The sequence below is a fragment of the Homo sapiens genome, chromosome 14 (assembly GCF_000001405.40).
Source record: "Homo sapiens chromosome 14, GRCh38.p14 Primary Assembly".
In the NCBI taxonomy this organism is placed as follows: Eukaryota; Metazoa; Chordata; class Mammalia; order Primates; family Hominidae; genus Homo; species Homo sapiens.
The window spans coordinates 102,317,506-102,342,813 of NC_000014.9; the positions used below are offsets into that span (position 1 = coordinate 102,317,506).

General features: G+C 49.0%; 1 protein-coding gene across 24 annotated transcripts, besides 3 other annotated features; it reads left to right on the forward strand.

Annotated features, from left to right (window-relative positions):
• ZNF839 (zinc finger protein 839) lies at positions 1-24,862 on the forward strand. Of its 24 annotated transcripts, NR_169567.1 has the most exons (10): positions 2,241-2,548; positions 2,840-2,965; positions 4,728-4,829; positions 8,480-9,382; positions 14,117-14,341; positions 17,049-17,141; positions 18,184-18,333; positions 21,311-21,448; positions 21,589-21,718; positions 23,818-24,862. NR_169567.1 is itself a non-coding variant. In NM_001267828.2 (9 exons), the coding sequence occupies exons 3-9, from the start codon at positions 8,540-8,542 to the stop codon at positions 24,672-24,674; spliced, it is 2,436 nt and encodes an 811-aa protein (NP_001254757.1). In that variant the 5' UTR covers positions 1-161; positions 1,835-2,013; positions 8,480-8,539; the 3' UTR covers positions 24,675-24,862. The 24 variants fall into 24 exon arrangements, 19 of the variants coding, with proteins under 19 accessions (NP_001254757.1, NP_001372004.1, NP_001371998.1 ...); NM_001267828.2 differs by lacking the exons at positions 2,241-2,548; positions 2,840-2,965; positions 4,728-4,829 and adding exons at positions 1-161; positions 1,835-2,013; NM_001385075.1 differs by lacking the exons at positions 2,241-2,548; positions 2,840-2,965; positions 4,728-4,829 and adding exons at positions 1-161; positions 1,835-2,013 and having other exon boundaries at positions 24,598-24,862.
• Positions 2,301-2,400: a silencer, noted in NCBI's record as "silent region_6112". NCBI's record gives its function as "represses an Ori minimal core promoter by ATAC-STARR-seq in GM12878 lymphoblastoid cells {active_cell/tissue: GM12878}" and the evidence as "EXISTENCE:reporter gene assay evidence [ECO:0000049][PMID:35858748]".
• Positions 2,461-2,650: a silencer, noted in NCBI's record as "silent region_6113". NCBI's record gives its function as "represses an Ori minimal core promoter by ATAC-STARR-seq in GM12878 lymphoblastoid cells {active_cell/tissue: GM12878}" and the evidence as "EXISTENCE:reporter gene assay evidence [ECO:0000049][PMID:35858748]".
• Positions 2,751-2,860: an enhancer, noted in NCBI's record as "active region_9070". NCBI's record gives its function as "activates an Ori minimal core promoter by ATAC-STARR-seq in GM12878 lymphoblastoid cells {active_cell/tissue: GM12878}" and the evidence as "EXISTENCE:reporter gene assay evidence [ECO:0000049][PMID:35858748]".
• Positions 24,863-25,308: the final 446 nt, after the last annotated feature.

Consider the following 25,308-nt stretch of genomic DNA (forward strand, 5'->3'; position numbering starts at 1 on the left):
GTGAAGACAGGTGCTCGCAGATATCACCGCCTAGTGTTCCCTGGGCCCACTTGCGGGGAAGTCTTGGAGGTGAAAATCCAGGTCTGGAATGAATGCATTCCACAGATGCATATGGAGAGCTACTGCATGCCCAGCACCATTCCTAGGCTGGGAGCAAAACGGTGAGACACAAACCCCAACCCGCTGGAGACAGTGACCAGCCACTAGATGACTGCCATGTTTTTAGTGAGGCATTCAGGTTGTGGAAGCCTCTGGAAACCTTCTCTTGCTTTTTGTCCCCCCTCTTTTCTTTTCGGAGACATCTTAGGCTTCACATTTCTTCCTCTTGGTTCTACATTTTGAAGCCAGAGCAAGTGGATGAATTTCTCACTCGGTTCGTTTCTAGGGTGGTCAGGTGTGCTCAGCTGAACAAAAGCCGGTTGTATAAGGTTGATGCCATTTTATGTCAGGATCCGGCAAGGGCTCCACCTGTTTTTGAAAATTCTACAGTGGAAACAGCTACTAGTTCTGACCTAAATAAGAAGCAGCTCAACATCTACAGACCTTGGTATGTGCCCAGGGTGTAGTAAAAGTTCTCAATAAATGCCAGCCGATGGCGCTGCTGCTATTATAAGCAAAGTTAGGAGAGCCTGGGGCAGCTGACACTTAAAATAGACATCTGTACACAGGATGGATGTCACATCTTTTAATAGTCGTGCCAGGCACGTTGTTAGATGCAGGGACACAGCATGGAGGAATCGGTGGAGGTTGCTGCCCTCAAGTTTCCTGAGCTTGAAGGGGTTTAGAATATGCCACGGTGGCATGAAAATTATTTTGAGCAGAAGGCATGTGAATTCCTGAAATCTGGTCGGGTGTGGTGGCTCACACCTGTAATCTCAGCACTTGGGAAGGCCGAGGCGGGCGGATCACCTAAGGTCAGGGTTTCAAGACCAGCCTTACCAACATGATGAAACCCCGTCTCTACTAAAAATACAAAAATTAGCCAGGCATGGTGGCGGACGCCTGTAATCCCAGCTACTCAAGAGGCTGAGGCAGGAGAACCGCATGAACCCAGGCGATGGAGGTTGCGGTGAGCTGAGATTGTGCCACTGCACTCCAGCCTGGGTGACAGAGTGAGATCTTGTCTCAAAAAAAAAAAAAAATTGTGGTAAGATACCCATAATATAAAATTCACCATTAAAAAATAACACGGAAGGGATCATCGTGAATGCAATGTGAGTATTGATGAGGATGGTGGTGATCTTCCAGAACCTTCTCTGACGCCACCCAGGCCGCCAGCCTTACTTTACCGGCTTCGGCGCTCATCATACTGTGCTGCAAATGCCAGTTTCCTCCTTCCCCCTTGGGAAGTTTCCTCCTTGGGGGTCGGCACCTAGACTGTATACCCCCCAGGGCGGAAACAGCGGTTCACCCACCAGGTGCTTAAGAAGGGTTTGTGGACCAGTGGACCTCCTGCTCTCCCTGGGGAAAGGAGCTGGGACATGTGTACACACCTGCAGCTACAAGATTCGGAGGGCGCACAGAGCCTCAACCGTAAGAAGGAGAGGCGATCAGGCTGAGGAAGATGGGGCAGTGGAGCTGGATGGATAGAGAGAGGGTGGGTTCATTCATTCGTTCACTCATTCGTTTATTCATATTCATCCATCCATCATTCATGCCCTGAGCGTGCGTTGTGTTCTGGGCAGGGCCTGTGCTGGGCACCGATTGTGTAATATATCATCTCTCCCTTCAAGGTGCACCCAATCTGGGTGGGTGGGTAGAGAGAAGCTACGGTGACAAGGCAAAAATTTGGGAAACACTCTCGTTAACAATTCAAACTGTGGTCCCCTCCCAGATGTATAAATCCAAATGTTTAGGGGTGGGCACAGTACTCTGCATCTCCAGACAGCATCCTCCGCTGATTCGGATGCATGATGACGTCAGAACACTTGGATATTGTGGTAACTTTTGGGCCAGGGGCTCTGAAACCCCGAAGACCTCCCCCTGGGAGATCCGGGACAGCTCCCAGAGAAGGTGAGTCTTAAACACATCCGTGACAGGCAATAAGGAAAATAAGGGGGGTCCGCTCTGCTGATCAGCCCTAAGAGCCGCGGCGGTTGTCGGCTGGGGCGGGGCACTCCACGACTTTCCCGGCCAGACACGGTCGCCTTCCTAGGTGTCTTGGCCTGCGAGGCACTCGTAGCCCGCCCCTCTCCTAGGTGACGTACATTGGAGACGCCGTCGCTCAGCGACCCGGGTTCGAGTCCCCGCCTCGGCCGCCATGGCGGATGCGGAGCCGGAGGCTGGGGGCGGCAGCGAGGATGGCGGCGGCGGCGGCGGCCCGGCTCCTCCGGGCCAGAGCGGCAGCGTCGCACGTGTGGCCCCGCTGGGCCCCGAGCAGCTGCGGCAGGTCCTGGAGCAGGTGACGAAGGCGCAGCCGCCGCCGCCGCCGCCCCCCTTCGTGCTGCGGGACGCGGCGCGGCGGCTGCGGGACGCGGCCCAACAGGCCGCCCTGCAGCGGGGCCGGGGCACCGAGCCCCCGCGCCTGCCGCGCCTGCTCCCGCCCCAGGTGAGGCGTCGGGAGGGACGTGGGGAAACTGAGGCCCGAAGGGGGCCGACGCCCCGCGGCGGGGTAGCTGCTTGTCCGGGGAGGCCAGTATCCGCCCGGGTTAAGACTCAGGGCGTCCCCAGGCTGAGCTTCTTAGGGACGGCGTTCGGCCCCCACCTGTCACCACCCTGGCATTTTCACCCCAGGAGCCTCACTCTAGGAGCGGTTGCTCACGCTGGGCCCTGTGCCTGGAACGCCCTCGTGCCTTCTCTGCCTTCACAGCCCTGCTGGGGGCTTTTGCGTGCTCCCTAGCTCTTCTTACAGGCCTTTCACCGCTGGTTCAGCCTTTGTGGAGCACTTAGAGACCGTGTTCCCAGCACTCCCCACTATGTGCAGGAGGTGAAGCCTTGAACACACTTGCTGAAGAACGAACATAAGGCAGGTTCTGGGATTGACGGGGGCTGCTTTAGAGTGGGTGGTCCCGTAGGCCAGACACTGGAGCTGAAACATAAATGAATTAAAAGGAACCAACTTAGCTTTTCAGTTGTAAGGTGCCAAGGCCCAGGCTTGGAACAAAGTCAAGCACAATACACTAGTTCGCTGCAGGACTTAACATCCTGGGTGATAGTGACTGATTTGTAACCGCAGTACCCAGCACAGTGCCTGATACACAATGTTTGGAATATGTGAAAGCACTCTGTATACTACAAAACATCCTTTCCCAGTGGGTTTATTTCCTGGGCCACACACCTTTTGGTTGCTAGGGGGGTGATAACTAGAAGACGGTCGCCCAACTCCGGAGGGTGAAGCATAGCGCCTGAAGCCAGAGGGCCTACACGGCATCTGTAAAATTCCACCCCATTTCAGCGCTGGGGTTGTAAACAAAATTAGTCTCACCCCAAAATTGCCAAAAGAAGACAGCTTTTTCCACTAGAAGAAACGGGTTAGGGAATAGAATCAGGAACCTTCACTCGTTGAGTTTTTTTGACTGATGTTAGCTGCTTAGGGTTGTATCCAGTTAATCATCAAGACTGGAGAGTTGTCTTGCTAAGGTTTAGGAAGACCAGTGTGATTCTGTCCAGATGCCACACTATCACTATCTAGAGGTGTGACCTTGGGTAAGTCAACCTTTTTGGACTTTGGTCTGGGTCAGAAGGCTGCAAGGTGCCATCTGGGGGCAGCTATCTGCAAAGCCTCTGCTCTGCGCCCGGCGCTGTGCGGGGCCGCTCAGTTTTCAGCAGTGTTTTTGTACCGGCATTTTGCAGGTGGGAAACAAGCTCAGGGAGGTTGCGTGGCTTTGCCCAAGGTCCCTCAGGTGTGGCTGCTCTCCCTAGCCCCTGTACTCCTCACCATACCCTGCTGAATATGGCCACAGCTTTTTGGGTTTGGAATCCAAAAATGACATATTTTTCGTAAAGCAAAAGCAAACTTATTCGAGCTTAGGCAGCATGATGGGATTGTATTTTGTAGCTAATCTAATGGAGACGATATAAATTCTACCTGCAATAATATACCTTTGCAGCACATTCTTTTAATACTCTTTCAGCCCCAGCTGTGTCATGGAGGCCACAAAGGCAAACCGGATGCGTACTTTGCCCCTCAGTAGTTTATGAACTAACAGGAGATGAAACAAGACCCAGATAACTTCTAGTCAAGGCCAGAAAGCTAAAGATAGTGAAAAAGAACTGAATGTATTTAGAGAAAGGGAGATTGTTCCTGGCTGAGGACATCAGAAGCAGCTTTGTTGAAGAAGTGGTATCTGAACTAGATTTGAAAGGGTGCGTCTGAGTTGAAAATGCAGAAGGGGAGAGGCAGGTTCTGGGGCGGTTGGGGGTGCATTTCAACAACCACAGCAGAAGGCCCAGTGTTCGCTGTGGGGGTGGTGTGGATCAGCAGCACAGACCAATGGACACACTTGGGTCAGATCGAGGCCCCTGTCTCTCCCCATCCTCCCTCTTCCCCACCCCACAGAAATTTCCAGTTCCATCCAACATGCTGTGCCCCTTTTCATGCATCCGTGCATTTACACATGGATGTGTGCCCTTTTTCACCTGGCAAAAATTCCCAGCCTTCAAAATGCCCCTCAGAGATCACAGCTTCTGGGCAGCCCACCACCTCTGGGCTGTTCCTGCCTCTTGATTGCACCTGTTGTACCATGATGACATTTTTCCTGTCTGCCTCACCTGTCTGCATTCCTTAGGGAAGCTTGTCTGCCTTCAGAATCATCAGTGGAGCTTTTGAAAGGGCAGATCTTGGGGCCTCACCCCAGGAGATCCGATTCAGCAGGTCTGCGGGGACTGAGGTATGGCAGGGGAAACCGCCCCCATCTCAAGGGTGAGGTTAGGACTTGGCTCCTGTGTATGTATTCCACCCAGAAATACTGAGTTAACATTAGCTGAATTAACTAAACAAAGTATCAAGCATAATACCCACAGGGTAAGCCAGTGAGGATAGAGGATAAATACATTATTAGTCTGGCTTTGCCGCTGTGGTTATCCTCAAACAGTAGGGTTTAGTGTATGTATGTATATGTATTATGTTTTTGTTTTGGGGTTTTGTTGAGACAGGGTCTTTCTTTCTCACCCAGGCTGGACTGATCTCGGCTCACTACAGCCTCGAACTCCCAGGCTCAAATGATCCTCACACCTCAGCCTCCCGAGTAGCTGGGGCTACATGTATGCACCATCATGCCTGGCTAATTTAAAAATGTTTTGTAGAGACAGGGTCCCGCTATGTTACCCAGGCTGGCCCTGAACTCCTGGCCTCAAGCAGTCCTCCCGCCTCAGCATCCCAAAGCACTGCGATTACAGGTGTGACTGGCAGTAAAATGAAAGAGATGGGGTTCTTGAAGGATATGCGCAGTCAATCTCGTTGTCATTTGTTTCACAAGTAGCCCAGGAGTCGGGGACTCCCAGGGCTATGGTGCCACCTCTCTACAATTCTTCATACAAAGTGTTGGCTGACCTCTGCTATTTGTACTAGTATAACAGACAGACGAGAGACACACTCCAGCTTGATCTCAGTGAGGATCTTTATTCTGTCCTGTGTGACATTTTTGTTGATGCTCCACTGTTTGAGGGTCACACCAGAAGGTTGAGTCCAAAGAGGGCCAGTTGGTCGTCCCAAATAAGTGATTCTCAACCGAGGGCAGTTTTGCCCCACAGGGGGCACTTGGCAATGTCTTCATTGTCAGGACTCGGGATCACTACTGGCATCTAGTGGGTAGAGGCAGAGATGCTGCTGGCCATCCTCCAGCCACCCATGTCAAAGGATTATGTTCTGAAATGTTGGTTGGGAAATCGTGCTCTGGATGATGAGGTTTGCCTCTTTTTCTCCCTGGAGGAAAGTGCTCATTATTTCTGCTCTGTGAGGGCGGGAGCCTTGTTTCTTTTGCTTCCCCGTCCTTCTCCCCTAAGCTGTAAGACAGCTGTTTCCCTGACACCTGTAACAGTGTTTCTGGCACGCGGTCAGTGCTCAATAAATATTTGTGGGGTGTTATTGAAGGTAGTTCTCCCCTTTGGTAGGTGTTTTGCTATTATAGACAGTGCTGCCCTGAACTTCGTAGAACAGAACATCTTTGTGGCCACCTGCGTGTTTTTTTTATAGAATCCAGGAAATGGAATTACTGGGTCAAAAAGCACATGTATTTGAAATTTTGTTAGATATATTTGTAAAAAGTTATTGAAGATACTCAGCCCTACGCCTAGGTACATGCCCCTGGAGAAAGTCACACATGTATACACATACATCGTGAAGATTCAGAGCAGAACTTAGGAACAGAAGGTTGGAAACCACCTGTCCATCAATAGGAGACTGGTGTACTCATACTGCAGAGAAAATGAACCCGTGACACCTACCCATGTTAATGTGGATAAAATTCACGAAGCAAAATGAAGTAAAGAAACCCAGAAAAGCCCTTTCAAGTTGCAGGAGATGATATCATTTATATAAAGTTTAAAAACATTTCAGAACTGAACTATATATTTTTAGAAATATCTGCATATGCCACATAAATTTTTAAAATCATAAGAATGCTAAACAGCACATTCAGGACAGGGTGAAGAAACAGGCATGCAGGTTGTGCAGTAGGAAGCTGGGTAACATTGTTCCTTATGGCTTTGTTGTCGCTTCCAGAATTTCATTAAAAACTTTTTAAAAAACATGGGCCCACATTATGAATTACGTCTGCTTTTAGAGTACTAAAAACTCCAAGCAAAAACACATGGGTAACGCCGGGCACGGTGGTTCATGCCTGTAATCTCAGCACTTTGGGAGGCTGAGGCGGACAGATCATGAGGTCAGGAGTTTGAGACCACCCTGACCAACATGGTGAAACCCCGTCTCTACTAAAAATACAAAAATTAGCCAGGTGTGGTGGCAAGCGCCTGTAATCAGGGCTACTCAGGAGGCTGAGGCAGGAGAATTGCTTGAACCTGAGAGGCAGAGGTTGCACTGAGCTGAGATAGCGCCACTGCATTCCAGCCTGGACCACAGAGCGAGACTTCATCTTAAAAAAAAATTAGCTGGTCATGGTGGCACACACCTGTGATCCCAGCTATTCAGTAGGCTGAGGCAGGAGAATCATTTGAACCTGGGAAGTGGAGGTTGTGGTGGCACTCCAGCCTGGGCGACAGAACGAGACTCCATCTCAAAAAAACAAACAAACAAAAAGCCAGCCGGGTGTGGTGAGGCAGGTGGATCGCCAGAGGTCAGGATTTCGAGACCAGCCTGAATGGTGAAACCCTGTCTCTACTAAAAATACAAAAATTAGCCGGGGCGTGGTGGTACGTGCCTGTAATCCCAGATACTTGGGAGACTGAGGCAGGAAAATTGCTTGAACTCGGGAGGCGGAGGTCGCAGTGAGCCAAGATAGTGTCGCTCCACTCCAGCCTGGGCGACAGAGCAAGGGTCCGTCTCAAAAGAAAAAGAAAAACCTCACATGGGTAAAACTGTTAGGAAGGCTCTTATCTCTTCACTGGTCATGAAATCAACTTAGTGGATTATGACTAGTATTTTTTAAAAAGTGATGTAGAATAGGGCTGGGCGTGGTGTCTCACGCTGGAAATCCCAGCACTTCGGGAGGCCAAGGCAGGTGGATCAATCACTTGACGTCAGGAATTTGAGACCAGCCTGGCCAACATGGTGAAACCCGTCTCTACCAAAAAATACAAAAATTAGCTGGGTGTGGTGGCAGCTACTCCGGAGGCTGAGATGAGAGAATCGCTGAAACTGGGAGGCAGAGGTTACAGTGAACTGAGATCGCACCACTGCACTCTAGCCTGGGTGACAGAGTGAGACCCTAATCTCAGAAAAAAAAAAAAAAAATGATGTAGAATAGATACAATCAGCGGGCATTTATATAGGGATGGTAAGTAGTTCCATCAACTTTATTTTATTTATGTATGCAGATATTTATATACACGTGTACTAGGTCATAATGTAAAATGTATCATTGTGGTCTCTGTTTTTGTTTTTGTTTTTTTCAGATGGAGTCTCACTCTGTTGCCCAGGCTGGAGTGCAGTGGTGCGATCTCAGCTTACTGCAACCTCCTCCCGGGTTCAAGCGATTCTCATGCCTCAGCCTCCTGAGTAGCTGGGACTACAGGAGTGCATCACCACGCCCAGCTCATTTTTGTATTTTTAGTAGAGATGGGGTTTCACCATGTTGGCCAGGTTGGTCTCGAACTCCTGACCTCAAGTAATCGGCCTGCCTTGGCCTCCCAAAGTGCTGGGATTACAAGTGTGAGCCACCAAGCCCAGCTTATATCACTGTGGTCTCTGGTCAGAAAGGTCTGGAAAATACCACCTTAGTACAAACACATTACATCAACTTTTATATGTAAGATGTAATTTAGAAAAAATGTCAATAATGGTTTTATGACGAGACTGAAATTGCAGACATGTTCATAAGCACAATGCTTCTTTTCTCTTTCTTGTCTTTCTGTACGTAAGCAACTAGAAGCCATTTGTGTCAAGGTAACGTCTGGAGAAACAAAAGGTCAGGAAAGGCCAATGCTCCTACCGACCACAATCCAGCCCCAAACTGCAAGAAAGAGCCAGCTGCCCCGGGGGAATTCCTGCCTGGTGGGGCTCCATATCGCCAGCCCTCAGCTGCTCAGGGTACAGCCGCTTGTGAGAACCGAGCCACAGTCCTGCTTCCTAAGTGACTTATGCCAACCTCCTGCTCAGGGGTTTGTACAGAGACCACTGCCAGCCCTCCAGGTGGTCCCTGCAAAGAGAGTCCCAGCCCCCAAGGCTCCAGATGAACAGGGCTCCATGTTGACCCCTTTGTCTGCCTCTGACCCGCTGGCAGTAACATCTCTTTCATCCAGTTCAGCACATCCATTTATTTCCAACTTGCATACAAGACATACTGAGAAACTAAAAAAATCGTTAAAAGTAAAGACACGTTCTGGACGGGTATCTCGACCTCCCAAATATAAAGCTAAAGATTATAAGTTCATAAAAACAGAGGATCTGGCGGATGGTCATCTGTCAGATTCTGATGATTACTCAGAACTCTGTGTGGAAGAAGATGAAGATCAGAGGGAGAGGCACGCACTCTTTGACTTATCGAGCTGCTCCCTGAGGCCCAAAAGCTTTAAGTGTCAGACTTGTGAAAAGTCATATATAGGGAAGGGGGGACTGGCCCGACATTTTAAACTTAACCCAGGCCACGGCCAGTTGGACCCCGAGATGGTGCTGTCTGAGAAAGCCAGTGGAAGCACCCTCCGGGGGTGCACGGAGGAAAGGACGCTCAGCCTGACCTCCCTGGGGCTGTCCATGCCAGCGGATCCATGTGAGGGAGGGGCCCGCTCCTGCTTGGTGACAGAGTCAGCACGCGGTGGCCTGCAGGTAATGTTTCTGTCTGGGTATGTGTCTTTTTATTTGGCCGTTCTCGGATTGCTATAAAGAAATACCTGAGACCAGGTATTTTATAAAGAAAAGAGGGTTGGCTCACGGTTCCATAGACTGTACAGGAAGCATGGTGCTGGCATCTGTTTAGCTTCTGGGGAGGCCTCGGGAAACAGAGTCACGGTGAAGGCAGAGTGGGAGCAGGCGCCTCATATGGCCACAGCAGGAACAAGGGGCAGGGGGAGGTACCACACACTCATTTATTTTTTTTGAGATGGATCCTCGCTCTGTCATCCAGGCTGGAGCACAGTGGCCTGATCTTGGCTCACTGCAACCTCCGCCTCCCCAGTTCAAGTGATTCTCCTGCCTCAGCCTCGCAAGTAGCTGGGATTACAGGCGCCCACCACCACGCCTGGCTAATTTTTGTATTTTTGGTAGAGACAGGGTTTCACCATGTTGGCCAGGCTGGTCTTGAACTCCTGACCTCAGGTGATCTGCCTGCCTCAGCCTCCCAAAATGCTGAGAGTACAGGTGTGAGCCACCACGCCTGGCCACCACACACTTTTAAACAACCAGATATCATGAGAACTCACTCACTGTCATGCTAAACCAGCCATGAGGGTTCTGCCCCCATGATCCAGCAGTCACCTCCCACCAGGTCCCACCTCTAACTTTGGAGATTGCACTTCAACATGAGATTTGGTGGGGACACAGATTCAAACCAAATCAGTCCCAGTTCCTGCCCCTGCCTGCTCATCATCCTTACATTGACCCTTATGGTGTCTGATCTGATGGGGATTCAGGCGAAGGCTGTAGCGGGACCAGAATCACTCTAGTGGAGGATCTGAGACCCCCACGTTGTCTGCACTGCTGCCAAACAGGCCAGGAAATGTGTGTCTTCTGTGTGCTAGGATGATTTAGTGAGCACATCTCATGGGAATGCATCCGTCAGCTCTAGGTTTGGTCAGTAAAACCAATGGCAGTGCGCTCTTGGCTGATGTTGCCATTACAGAGGGTGTTGAGAAAAGGAGTCCCTGGGGGTGCTTCTGGAGTGTCAACAGCTCCTGGCTGCTTAGCGTGTCCTCTCCCCCTTCTGCTGCTTCTGCAACTCCTGATAAAGTAGGTGTGAGTCGCTATGAATTTGCATTATCACATCAAAAAATTTTTTTCTAAAATATTTTATTGAGCCGGGTGCAGTGGCTCACACCTGTAATCCCAGCACTTTGGGAGGCCGAGGTGGGCGGATCACCTCAGGTGACGAGTTCGAGACCAGCCTGGCCAACATGGTGAAACCCCATCTCTATTAAAAATACAAAATAAGCTGGGTATGGTAGCACATGCCTGTAATCCCAACTACTTGAGAGGCTGAGGCAGGAGATTTGCTTGAACTTGTGAGGTGGAGGTTGCAGTGAGCCGAGATCATGCCATTGCACTCCAGCCTGGGCAACAAGAGTGAAACTCCATCTCAAAAAAAAAAAAAAAAAAAAAATATATATATATATATATATATATATATATATATATGTATACACACACACACATATAGTAGTAAAAAAACACATAGCATGACATGTACCATCTTAACCATATTTAAGTGTGTGGTTCAGGGGTATTAAACACATTCACAGTGTTGTGCAGCCATCACCCCCACACATCTCCAGAACTCTTTTCATCTTCTAAAACTAAAACTCCGAGCTTCACGTTGGGCTAAGTGAAAAAGAAACAAAAAAACTAAAACTCTGTCCCTGTAAACACCAACTCTCCATTCCCTTTTCCCCCAACCTTCGACTTTCTGTCTTCTATGATCTTGACTACTCTAATTTCCGTATAGAAGTGGAGTCACAGGGTATTTGTCTTTCTGTGGCTGGCTTATTTCACTTTGCACGATATCCAAGGTTTATGTTGTAGTAAGTGTCAGAATGTCCTCCCTCTGTAAGACTGAGTAATATCTCACTGTGTGTACATATCACACGTTGCTTGTTCATCTGTCAGTGGACACTTGGGTTGCTTTCACCTTCTGGCTATTGTGAACGATGCTGCTATGAACACAGATGTTCAATTACATCTTTGAGACCCTGCTTTCTTCTTTTTTTTTTTTTTTGAGATGGAGTCTTGCTCTGTCGCCAGGCTGGAGTGCAGTGGCGCGATCTCAGTTCACTGCAACCTCTACCTCCCGGGTTCAAGTCGTTCTCCTGCCTCAGCCTCCCGAGTAGCTGGGACTACAGGCACGAGCCACCACGCCCAGCTAAGTTTTTGTATTTTTAGTAGAGATGGGGTTTCACCATGTTAGCCAAGATGGTCTCGATCGCTTGACCTTGTGATCCACCGCCTTGGCCACCCAAAGTGCTGGGATTACAGGCGTGAGCCACCACGCCCGGCCCAATTTCTTTGGGTATATATCCAGAAGTGGAATTGCTAGATTTTAAGTGGAATTATTTTCTTTATTTTCTTTTCAAATTGTTCATTGCTAGTGTTTAGAAATGCAGCTGATTTTGTGTATTTATTTATTTATTTATTTTTTCAGTCTGACTCTGTTGCCCAGGCTGGAGTGCAGTGGTGTGATCTCAGCTCACTGCAACCTCTGCCCCCTCGTTTCAAGCAATTCTCCTGCCTCAGCCTTTTTAGTCGCTGGAATTACAGGCGTGTGCTACCATGCCTGGCTAATTTTTGTACTTTTAGTAGAGACGGGGTTTCGCCATATTCGCCAGGCTGGTGTCCAATTTCTGGCCTCAAGTGATCTGCCCACCTCAGCCTCCCAAAATGCTGGGATTATAGGCATGAGCCACTGCACCTTGCCTCATTTATTAATTCTAATATTTGTGTGTGTGTGTGTGTGTGTATGTGTGTGTGTAATCTTTAGGCATTTCTACATATAAGATCATATCTGCAAATAGAGATAACCTTTTTTTTTTTTTTTTTTTTTTGAGACGAAGTTTTGCTCTGTCACCCAGGCTGGAGTGTAATGGCGTAATATCAGCTCACTGCAACCTCCATCTCCTGGGTTCAGGCGATTCTCCTGCCTCAGCCTCCCGAGTAGGTGGGATTACAGGTGCCCACCATCATGCCCAGCTAATTTTTTGTATTTTTAGTAGAGACAGGGTTTTACCATGTTGGCCAGGCTGGTCTTGAACTCCTGACCTCAGGTGATCTGCCCGCCTTGGCCTCCCAAAGTGCTAGGATTACAGGCGTGAGCCATTGCGCCCGGCCTCAGATTTTCTACTTCTTTGTGATTTAGTTTTGGCAGGTTTTGTGTATGTAGGAATTTGTCCATTTCATTTAGGTTATTCATGTTGTTCAGTGTTGTAGTATTTAGTATTCTATTATAATTCTCTCTCTTTTTTTAATTTTTATTATTATTTTTTGAGACGGAGGTTTGCTCTTGTTGCCCAGTCTGGAGTGCAATGGCATGATCTCAGCTCACTGCAACTTCTGCCTCCTGGGTTCAAGGGATTCTCCTGCCTCAGCCTCTCTAGTAGCTGAGATTACAGGCATCTGCCACTATGCCCAGCTAATTTTTTGTATTTTTAGTAGAGACGGGGTTTTACTATGTTGGCCAGGCTAGTCTCAAACTCCTGACCTCAGGCAATCCACCTGCCTCAGTCCCCGAAAGTGCTGGCATTACAGGCATGAGCCACTGCTCCCCGCTCTTTTTTTTTTTTTTTTTGGCGATAGAGTCTCACTGTGTTGCCCTGGCTGGAGTGCAGTGGTGCGATTTCAGCTCACTGCAACCTCCACCTCCTGGGTTCCAGTGATTCTTCTGCCTCAGCCTTCAGGTGTGCACCATCACACCTGGCCAATTTTTGTAATTTTAGTAGAGACAGGGTTTCACCGTGTTGTCTAGGCTGGTCTCAAACTCCTGACCTCAGGTGATCCACCCGCCTCGGCCTCCCAAAGTGCTGGGATTACAGGCATGAGCCACCGGGCACGCCTGGCCTTTATTTTATTTTTCTACGTTATTATTCCTGTTTTCAGAGGAGGGAATTGTCAGGGAATGAGGAAACAGGACATGAGGACAAGGCCAGATCTAGGGTTCTCTTCAAAAGCCATGCAGATGCATGGAGACAGAAAGTAGACCGGTGGTTACCAGGACCTGTCGGGAGGGAGGAGGAGGAGTGACTGCTAATGGGTACAGTTTCTTTCTGAGCTGATGAAACTGTGTTGGAATTAGATAGTGGTTATGGTTACACAATTTCGCGAATATTTTGTATCCACTGAATTATGTACTTTCAAAGGATGAATTTTATGGTATTTTAAATCTATCCAGTAAAATAATTTAAAAGTTTAAAAAGTCATGGATACGTAATGAATTAGGAACAAAATTCAGGTCAGGTTTTAAAATGACAGTCACATCAGAGAAATCTTTTTTTTTCTTTTTTTTGAGACAGAGTTTCCCTCTTGTCACCCAGGCTGGAGTGCAGTGGCACCATCTTGGCTCACTGCAACCTCTGCCTCCCAGGTTCAGGTGATTCTCCTGCTTCAACCTCCCGAGTAGCCAGGACTACAGGCGCGCGCCACCGCGCCTGGCTAATTTTTTGTATTCTTAGTAGAGATGGGGTTTCACCATGCTGGCCAGGTCGGTCTCAAACTCCTAACCTCAAATGATCCACCCGCCTTGGGCTCCCAAAGTGCTGGGATTTCAGGTGTGAGCCACGGCGCCCGGCCACTAAAAGGTTTTTATGGGGTATATAAAGCATGATTGTTTTATTTTACTTTTGGGTGTGCAACACTGTCTAGAATGGTCAGTCTGTAGACGTTGAAGAGACATTGCCATCTGAACCAGAAAATGGAGCTCTTTTGCGATCAGAGAGATACCAAGGACCTAGAAGACGCGCATGCTCAGAGACCCTTGCAGAGTCCCGCACAGCTGTCCTCCAGCAGAGAAGAGCTGCTCAGCTACCTGGTGGCCCTGCTGCGGCAGGGGAGCAGAGGGCGTCGCCAAGCAAAGCCAGGCTCAAGGAGGTACCTCACTCTTAAACCCTGTGCTTGAAACCCGTGTCTTTAGCATGGATGTGGCAATCACTATCAGTTTCTGAATCACCTAAGCAGTTCACCTGAAATGTCATTGCATTAAGTGTGTGATGATGCCAAGGACAGTAATATCTGAACTAATTCGTACTCTTACCTGTTTAAAGTGACTGTACAGCCTTTGGTGCAGCTCCAAAAGCTGCTTGACTTGATAAGTTTTGGAATAATTATAACCTGTGTTTATATGGAAGCAGTTTAGAAAACAACGGAAGTGGTTTTCAAAACCATTCTTTTTTTTTAGACGGAGTCTCACACTGTCATCCAGGCTGGAGTGCAGTGGTGCCATCCCGGCTCACTGTGCTTCTCCACCTCCCAGGTTCAAGCGATTCTCCTTCCTTAGCCTCCTGGGTAGCTTGGATTACAAGCGCCTGCCAACCACACCCAGCTAATTTTTGTATTTTTAGTAGAAATAGGGTCTCACCTTGTTGGTCAGGCTGGTCTCAAACTCCCGACCTCGTGATCCACCCGCCTTGGCTTCCCAAAGTGTTGGGATTACAGGCATGAGCCACCATGCCCGGCCTTCAGAACCATTCTTGACTTACAGATGATAATTTCTCCAGAAATGGATATTAATTTATACATTTACTGGGTGTCCATCAAGTATCAGTCCCTGTTCTAGGGATGGAGGGGACAGTGTGCACAAGATAGACAGGGCTCGGCTCTTAGGGGAGAAACAGGACAGTCAAACCAGTCATCTGACAAAACTGTCAGTTGAGGCCGGGCACGGTGGCTCACACCTGTAATCCCAGCACTTTGGGAGGCCGAGGTGGGCGGATCACCTGAAGTCAGGAGTTCGAGACCAGCCTGACCAACATAGTGAAACCCTGTCTCTACTAAAAATACAAAAATTAGCTGGGCATGGTGGCAGGCGCCTGTAATCCCAGCCACTTGGGAGACTGAGGGAGGAGAATCGCTTGAACCCAGGAGGCGGAGGTTGCAGTGAGCCAAGATCGTGCCATTGCACTCCAGCCTGGGGGACAAGAACGAGACTTCGTCTCAAAAACAAAAACAAAAACAAAAAAAACTGTCAGTTGAACCTAAGTGTTAAGCAGAAAATTGTGGAGTTTCCCTGTCTGCTGTTATTAAGCTCATACAGAATTTAGGTCAGGCCATGGCAAGGTAATATCCCATATTCCCACCTTCTCCCACTTCCTGTGGAGTTGAAAGTCAGCTGGCCACTTCTTTCAAAAGATTTTTGAAAGTCTTAATTAAACATTTTTGTCTTATAATGAAAAGATTTTTCTGTAGCTTTTCTGCTTGTTTTGCGAGCATCTGTGGCCCTCCTCTGAAGCCCTTCCAGCCCTTTGCAGCTCCTACTCAATCTCTTGCTCTCTCTCTAAATGCCAATCTTTTTTTTTTTTTTTTTTTGAGAGAGGGTCTCATTCTGTCACCCAGGAGCGTAGTGGCTCAATCATGGCTCACTGCAGCCTCCACCTCCCAGGCTCAATTGATCTTCCTGCATCAGCCTCCCGAGTAGCTGGACCCACAGCACAGGCGCACACCCCCACACCCAGCTGATTTTTAATTTTTTTTAGAGACAGGGTCTCATTATGTTGTCCAAGCTGGTCTCGAACTCCTACCCTGAAGTAATCCTCCTGGCTTGGCCTCCCAAATTGCAGGGATTACAGGCGTGAGCCACTGCGTCTGGCCTTCTAAGCACTGATCTTGTGATCTCCCTGGACCTCAGAAGACTTCCTGTTTCTAGGACTTCCTCAGCTTCCCTCTCACTTTATTGCTTCCCTGGGGATCTCACCGTCCTCCTGGTTTCCCAGGCCTTCTTCCCTCTACAGACTCCCACGCTTCCCGTTCAGACCTCTCTCTGGTGCCTCAGATCTCTTCATTGAAACATCTCCACCTGGCTGTCCTGTGAACCCCTCTGCCTTTCATGTCTGAGCAGAGCCCACAAGCTGGCTTTCTGTCCACCCCTGCATTGTCAGGGGCCGTTTCGCCTACCCCAGGCTCAAGCTGGGAACCCAGAGCCATTCTTGACTTTCTCCTTCACTCACTCCTCCCCATGTCCTGTGGTCGCTAAGCCTGGAGGGCTATGCTCTCCCCTCATCTCCCTCCCCTGCCACCCACATCCCTCTCCTTACCTGAGTCCTCATCTTTTCCTGACTGTACTGTGGGGGTAGTCTTGACTGCCTGCCAGGCTTCCAGCCCTGCCCCATCCTCTGCACCACCACCCAAGGCACCTTCCTAAAACCTCCCTCCACAGCTGCCTGGAGAAGGAAATCCAAACCTTGGCCCCTCTCAGCCTGGGCCTGGGTTGCCTTTCAGCCCTTCTGGCCTGCCCGTCTCCAGGCGCCGCCTCCAGCTGTGCCACCCCCTCACCTGAGTATGCGGCGCAGCCTGGGTGAGTCCTGGAGGGCAGGACACACATCTCCTTATCACCGTGTCCTTATTCCAGGGCCTTGCCCAGGACAGTGCCCAGAGCTTGTCATGGGGGACCCAGAATGGATCATAGTACTTCATTAAGGAGCAAACAGGTGAAATAGTTAATAAAGCAGAATGTTTAGAGTTACTTGGTCACTGAAATTTTTGGAGAACTTTCTGTTTTTTATGTTGTATATTGCACCAACTTGTTGGCTATTGGGAAATTCTTACGGGACATTCAAAGGCATGAAATGCTTTCCCTTGGTAGTTCCTCCAGCAGTGTGACCGGGAGGATCTGGTGGAATTGGCTCTGCCTCAGCTGGCTCAGGTTGTGACCGTGTATGAGTTTCTTCTGATGAAGGTGAGTACTCTTAGTGTTTCTAAATGATAGCGGGATGATTAGAAGTTATTTAGAAATAATATTATTATTTATTAATTATTTTTCAATAGCCTGCATAGTTGTTAATTTTATTTTTGAGACAGGGTCTTGCTCTGTCGCCCAGCTAGAGTGCAGTGGCACCATCGTAGCTCACTGCAGCCTCAAACTGCTGGTCTCTAGCAATCCTTCCACCTCAGCCTTCCAAGTAGCTGGGACTACAGGCATGCACCATCATACCCGGCTAATTTTTAATTTATTTAAAAAAATTTTTTTTGTAGAGATGGGATCTAGCTTTGTTGCCCAGGCTGGTCTCAAACTCCTGGCCTCAAGTAATCCTCCTGCCTCGGCCTCCCAAAGTGATGGGATTATAGGTGTGAGCTACCGTGCCCAGCTCATAGTTGTTTTGGAAAGAGCCAGGCCATTTGGAATCGTTTTCCTTTTGCAGGACAGCTGAAGTGAGCCTGCTGGTCACACACCGTGCCTGGTGTGGGGGCCGCTGCCTGGGTAGCTGGGTGTCTCGGGCAGGTGCCCGTTTACTCCCTTGACTTTTAACTTGGTACAGGAGGAATGGAAGTGGCAGCCACAAATAATGGCTATCCTGGGCTCTCCTAGAACCCACTCGCCCCAGCTGGCCTCTTCTGCCCGCGGCTCTGCTCCTTCTGAGCCCACTCTGAGGCTGCAGCCCAGGCTGCCTGTGCCCCACACTCCCTCTGGAGCTGACAGTCCAGCCGGGGCTCAGGGCCTTTCTGCCTTCCCTTCCCACCCTGTCCAGGAGCTCACCCATGCCCTACATGGCCCCCACCCAGGGCTTGTTTGTTTCTTGGCCTGCTCCTCCCATGCCCATCCTGGCTTCTCTGCACCATGCGGGGCACACAGTAGGTGCTCACTGGGGACTGAAGGAAACGCACACCACTGAGGGCTGCTGAGGGGTTAAGGAACCGAAACTTTGTTTAGATTTTCTTCTGTATTTTCCATATCAGTGCCTTGAGTTTAAACTTTTTTTTTGGTCTTTATCTTCACGAAGGTTGAAAAAGATCATCTAGCAAAGCCTTTTTTCCCAGCTATATATAAGGAATTTGAAGAGTTGCATAAAATGGTTAAGAAAATGTGCCAAGATTACCTCAGTAGTTCTGGTCTGTGTTCCCAGGAGACCCTGGAAATAAACAATGATAAGGTAACAATCTCCCATGGCAGAAAGAGTTTTGCTCATAGAGTTAGCCAGAAGAAAGAAGGGCCACGTGCAGTGGCTTATGCTTGTAGTCCCAGTGCTTTGGGAGACTGAGGCAGGTGGATCACTTGAGGTCAGGAGTTTGAGACCAGCCTGGCCAACATGACAAAACTCAGTCTCTACTAAAAATACAAAAATTAGCTGGGCGTGGTGGCACATGCCTCTAATTCCAGTTATTCAGGAAGCTGAGGCACAAGAATCATTTGAACCTAGGAGGCAGAGGTTGCAGTAAGCTGAGATTGCACCATTGCACTCCAGCCTGGGTGACAGAGACTCTGTCTCAAAAAACAAAACAAAACCAAAAAAAAAAAAAACTCCATGTATGAAGGAGAATGTTTTTAGTAATGACATTTTCCTGTTCGACCTCATTTTAGCTTTTTCCCATCAAGTGAAAATTTTTTTTTCTTTTTGTTTTTTTGGGAGATGGAGTCTTGCTCTGTCACCCAGGCTAGAGTGCAGTGGTGTGATCTCAGCTCACTGTAACTGCCGCCTCCCAGGTTCAAGCAATTCTCCTGCCTCTGCCTCCCAAGTAGCTGGGATTAGAGGCGCACACCACCATGCCCAGCTGATTTTTTGTATTTTAGTAGAGACAGGGTTTCACCGTGTTGCCCAGGCTGGTCTCGAACTCCTGAGCTCAGGCAGTCTGCCTGCCTCAGCCTCCCAAAGTGCTAGGATTACAGGTGTGAGCCACCACATCCGGTCCCCAGTTTTTTTTTTCTTAAAGCAATAAATGCTCTTCCAGAAAACTCAAAAATGAAGATAAGCTAGAAGAAAATGGAAAACACCATAATCTTCCCACTCACTGATGATCAGAGTTAAAACCTCAGGTATCATTTTCTTCTTTTTTTTTTTTTGTTTTGAAACAGGGTTTCCCTCTGTCTCCCAGACTGGAGTGCAGTGGCACAATCACAGCTCACCGCAGCCTCAACCTTCTGGTCCCAAACAATCCTCCCACATAAGCCTCCTGAGTAGCTGGGACTACCGCCGTGTGTCACCATGCCCAGCTAATTTTTAAATTTTTCGTAGAGAAGGGGTCTCGCTGTGTTGTCCACTCTGGTCTTGAACTCCAGGGCTCAACTGATCCTCCCTTATAGGCCTCCCAAAGTGCTGGGATTACAGGCATGAACCACCATGCCTAGCCCTGTTTTCTTCCTTATGTGGGTTTTTGGGGATGGATTATATAGGGGCCATTCATTTTTGTTTGTGGTGGTTCCGACACAATTCTCATTTCAGTGTCATTGTTATTATCAAATTGCCTTTAGCTACATTGGATTTTTTGGGGTGTTTTTGTTTTTTTGAGACAGAGTCTCGCTGTCAGCCAGGCTTGAGTGCAATGGTGCCATCTTGGCTCACTGCAACCTCCCCTCCTGGGTTCAAGCGATTCTCCCACCTCAGCCTCCTGAGTAGCTGGGACTACAGGTGTGCACCACCATGCCCAGCTAATTTTTGTATTTTTAGTAGAGACAGGGTTTCACCGTATTGGCCAGGCTGGTCTTGAACTCCTGACCTCAAGTGATCCGCCCGCCTCAGCCTTCCGAAGTGCTGGGATTACAGGCATAAGCCACCATGCCCTGCCTTATTTTCTTAAATTACATATGATGAAAATGTAAAAGGTTTTTGCTAAGCCTCATGTAGATGCCCTCCACAGCAGTCACCTGTGTGTTTTTTAAACTCTTGAGTTTAGCAAGTGTGGGTATCATCCTGCTTTGAGGCGGAACTCGGCACACACACACTGTGCCTGCCCTACAGAATCCGGCTTTTTCAGCAGCTCAGACTGTGCCATCGCCTCTTGGGAGCATGACAGTGGCTCCGTTTGTGAGGGGACACCATCCAGGTTGGTCCGCGCAGAACCCACATGGCCCGTTTTCTCCTTTAACCTTGTTCTGCCGCCCTTCCTGCCGTGCCCACCCCCATCTCATGCTCTGTGGGGTTCTCTTTATAACATCCATGTATAAATGATACCAGCTGTCTCTTAGCACTTTCACATCTGGTGTTTACGTAGGCATTGCATATGGAGTCAAATCTCATCTTCACAAAAGCCTTTCCAGGTAGCTGTAACCTCTTGTCTGGATAAGTCAGGGAGATGGACAAGGGAGACTCAGGAGATGGTGGCTCACCAAGATCACCCAGGCCATGGGCAGAGAAGCTGGGATCCAGCTCAGGCCCCCAAGCCCATGCCTTTTTACCAGCTGGGAAGGGAGATCTGGGTGTGGGATAGGCAGGATCGTTTTTCTCAAGAGACCAGTGAGAAGTCAGTAAAGGAGGGATAGTGGGAAAGAAAGTTACTATGGTATCAGCTAACATTATTAAGCTCGTGATAGCATTAAAGAGAGTGTTTTAAATGTTTTGTAAAGACTGTTCTGGGCTGAGCACAGTGGCTCACGCCTGTAATCCCAACACTTTGGGAGGCTGAGGCGGGTGGATCACTTGAGGCCAGAAGTTCAAGACCAGCCTGGCAAACATGGTGAAACTCCATCTTTACTAAAAATACAAAAATTAGCCAGGCATGGTGGTGCATGCCTGTAATCCCAGCTACTCAGGAGGCTGAAGCAGGAGAATCACTTGAATCTGGGAAGCGGAGGTTGTGGTAAGCCAAGATCATGCCACTGCACTCCAGCCTGAGCGACAGAGCCAGACTCTGTCTCAGAAAAAAAAAAAAAAAAAAAAAAAAAAGATTGGTCTCCTCCTCTAAATTGTGCTCACATAGAACCTTCTAGTTTTTATAATCCATTTTTATCATCAGCTAGTCCATCTAACATTATATTGATCTTCATCTTTCTCATTGTTGAGATGGCATCTCACAGTAGGTGAGGAACTTTGTAGATTTAATTCTATGAAGTCGTTTAATTCTTGCATGTGAATGTGCTTCTGGGGGTGTGTGCTGTTTGGGTGAAGTTTATTCTCTTGGCCCATTTCTTTTCAGGTTGCTGAGTCATTAGGAATCACAGAATTCCTACGGAAGAAAGAAATACACCCAGACAACCTTGGACCCAAGCACCTCAGCCGAGACATGGATGGGGAGCAGCTAGAGGGAGCTAGCAGCGAGAAGAGGGAACGTGAGGTGGGCATGGCTGAAGTGGGTGCCAGGTGACTGTGCACGGTGAATTAGCGTGGTTTGGCTTCTTCTGTTCACACCAGGAAGAGGAGGTAGCGGTTTGCCTATTCCTTCCTATTCTAGCTGATTGGGTCTTCTCTTCACAGGCTGCGGAGGAGGGACTGGCCTCAGTGAAAAGGCCCAGAAGAGAAGCCCTGTCCAACGATACCACTGAATCTCTTGCTGCCAACAGCAGAGGCCGGGAGAAGCCCAGGCCCTTGCATGCTTTGGCCGCTGGTGAGGGTAAAATGCTGTTTGTGGGGTGTATCCATGGCCTGGCAGCCCTGCTGACATGCACAGATGTACCCAGGATTGCCATTTTTCAGGTTGGGTGACCTGTGCTGGATTTAAGGGGACCCTCTGGTTTCTCAAGTTTCATTCCAGCCTCCCAGTGTTCTGTCATTCCAGATTCATTCCCTGCGAGTCTTGAGGTCTTCAGGGTTTTCTAGAGTGCCTTGTTAAAATGGAGAGCCACAGGCCAGGTGCAGTGGCTCACGCCTATAATCCCAGCACTTTGGGAGGCCGAGGTGGGCGGATCACCTGACGTCGGGAATTCGAGACCAGCCTGGCCAACATGGCAAAACCCCGTCTCTACTAAAAATACAAAAAAAACTAGCTGGGTGTGGTGGCGTGTGCCTGTAATCCCAGCTACTTCGGAGGCTGAGGCAGGAGAATTGCTTGAACCTGGGAGGCAGGAGGTTGCAGTGAGCCGAGATTGCACCACTGCACTCCAGCCTGGGTAACAGAGTGAGACTCCATCTCAAAAAAAAAAGGAGAGCCACCAAATGGTAGTAAACAGGCTATACCAGGAGGGTCCCAAGAGGTTAGGCTGAGACGGGTCCCAGGACACATCCATCTATGGCTTGGCTTTCATGAGACTTCGCTGTACATGCCAGCTGAGATTTAACATTTGAAAACAAGACAGGTCCTGGCTTTTATTCTGGCTCTAGCCAGAACCTATCAACTAGGCACTTAAAAAATTATATATATAAATTTTTTTTTTGAGACGGGAGTCGCACTTTGTCACCCAGGCTGGAGTGCAGTGGCACAATCTCGGCTCACTGCAACCTCTGCCTCCTGGGTTCAAGCAATTCTACTGACTCAGCCTCCCCAGTAGCTGGGATTACAGGCACCCGCCATCATGCCCGGCTAATTTTTTTTTGTATTTTTGTAGAGATGGGGTTTTACCATTTTGGTCAGGCTGGTCTGAAACTCCTGACTGCAGGTGATCTGCCCACCTCGGCCTCCCAAAGTGCTGGGATTACAGGCATGAGCCACTACGCCAGCCTTTTTTTTTTTTTTTGAGATGGAGTCTTGCTCTGTCACCCAGGCTGGAGTGCAATGGCATGATCTCTGCTCACTGCAACCTCTGCCTCCCAGGCTCAAGCAATTCTCCTGCCTCAGCCTCCTGAGTAGCTGGGATTACAGGCGCCCACCACCACATCTGGCTAATTTTTGTATTTTTAGTAGAGATAGGGTTTCCCCATGTTGGCCAGGCTGGTCTTGAACTCCTGACCTCAAATGATCTGCCCGCCTCAGCCTCCCATAGTGCTAGGATTACAGGCGTGAGCAGCCACCGTGCCCAGCCTGATGGTGATTCTTAATTGGGGCATGTGTTGGAACCACCTGGGGAGGTTATTGTGAAATACAGGGGCCTGGACCTCTGGGAATTCCAGGTCTGCAGGTAGGGTTGTTGGGAGGGTGTGGATGTGAGTATTTGGAAAGGCCTCTTTGGGTGATTCTCCAGCTCACTCTGATGAAGAATCACCAATCATTCATTCAGTATTGGCATAAAATCACTGTTGCTGGGTGTGGTGGCTCATGCCTGTAATCCCAGCACTTTGGGAGGCTGAGTCGGGTGGCTCACAAGGTGAGGAGTTTGAGACCAGCCTGACCTACATGGTGAAACCTTGTCTCTACTAAAAATACAAAAATTAGCTGGGCATGGTGGCGCATGCCTGTAATCCCAGCTATCAGGAGGCTAAGGCAGGAGAATTGCTTGAACCCAGGAGGTGGAGGCTGCAGTGAGCTGAAATCGTGCCACTGCACTCCAGCCTGGGTGACAGAGCGAGACTCCATCTCAAAAAAAAAAAAAAAAAAAAAGCACACTGTCGATTGGCTCTTAGAGCATATTTTTAATACAAAATCTGTCTTTGTGAATAGAGAATAGGGACGTATTTTTTAAAATTGCTACCAATCCCAAGGAGCAAGGAGCATCGATGCTTTGACTTTTCTGCAGGGCAGGTGACTTGGCCTAGCTGGTTTTGGGTGGTGAGTGCAGTGAGTGGGCCATGACACAGTACACGCCATGTTCACCTGTTTCCCAAAATGTTTAGGTTTTTCCCCTCCAGTAAATGTGACTGTCTCTCCCCGTTCTGAAGAAAGCCATACAACGACGGTTTCTGGTGGCAATGGGAGCGTGTTCCAGGCGGGCCCGCAGCTTCAGGCACTGGCTAACTTAGAAGCCAGGAGGGGGTCTATAGGTGCTGCTCTCTCATCCCGGGATGTCAGTGGGCTGCCTGTTTATGCTCAGTCAGGAGAGCCTAGGAGGCTGACCCAGGCACAGGTGGCAGCGTTTCCTGGAGAGAATGCTTTGGAACACTCTTCAGACCAGGACACCTGGGACAGCCTGAGGAGCCCGGGTTTCTGCAGCCCTTTGTCATCTGGTGGTGGAGCAGAGTCCCTGCCGCCTGGGGGGCCTGGACATGCAGAGGCAGGACACCTCGGCAAGGTTTGTGACTTCCACCTGAACCACCAGCAGCCCAGCCCCACCAGCGTCCTGCCTACAGAGGTGGCAGCCCCTCCGCTTGAGAAAATTTTGTCTGTGGATAGCGTGGCAGTGGACTGTGCCTACAGGACTGTGCCCAAGCCAGGGCCTCAGCCTGGCCCACATGGATCACTATTGACTGAAGGGTGTCTCAGAAGCCTTTCGGGGGACTTGAACCGGTTCCCCTGTGGGATGGAGGTGCACTCTGGCCAGAGAGAACTGGAGAGCGTGGTTGCTGTCGGCGAAGCCATGGCTTTTGAAATTTCCAATGGGAGCCATGAGTTACTGTCTCAGGGACAGAAGCAGATTTTTATTCAGACTTCCGATGGGCTTATCTTGTCCCCTCCAGGTACAATAGTGTCTCAGGAGGAGGACATTGTCACAGTGACTGATGCAGAGGGGCGTGCCTGCGGATGGGCCCGCTAGAAGGAGTTCCTCTAGAAGCTGTGGAGTCGGTCGTCACCGTGGAGCCAGAGCCCTCACAGTGAAGTGGAGTCAGATCCTAGATTCGTCTGATTTTATCCAGAGAAGGTCTATGGCAAGCAATGTATATTTTTCTAATGTGAATATTGCACAGATGAACCTTTTATTTATAAAGAATAATGTCTTTCTGCCCTGCTGTCTACATTTTTCTATGGAGCTTGTCATAATAATAGCAGATATTACCTGATCAGGAATCCCTGTGGCGCGTCTGACGCTCATGAGTTTTTCATGATGGTGATGAGTAGCACTGCACTGTCACCTGATGATTGGCCCTGCTCCGTTTCCCTTCTCTCCTGGGAGATATGCTGCTTTTCCACCAGACTTGCTCCATACTAGAAGCTTCTTTTGGGTTCAATTAAAAAGAAAATAAGCTAGTCATTCTGGGCAGCATTTTATTGATAGAAGGGGGAAAAAGTCATTTCTACTTGCATGATTTTTTAAATTAAATTAAATTAAATTAATTTAATTATTTTTGAGACCAAGTCTTACTCTGTAGCCCAAGCTGGAGTGCAGTGGCGCGATCTTGGCTCACTGCAACCTCTGCCGCCTGGGCTCAAGCGATTCTCGTGCCTCAGCC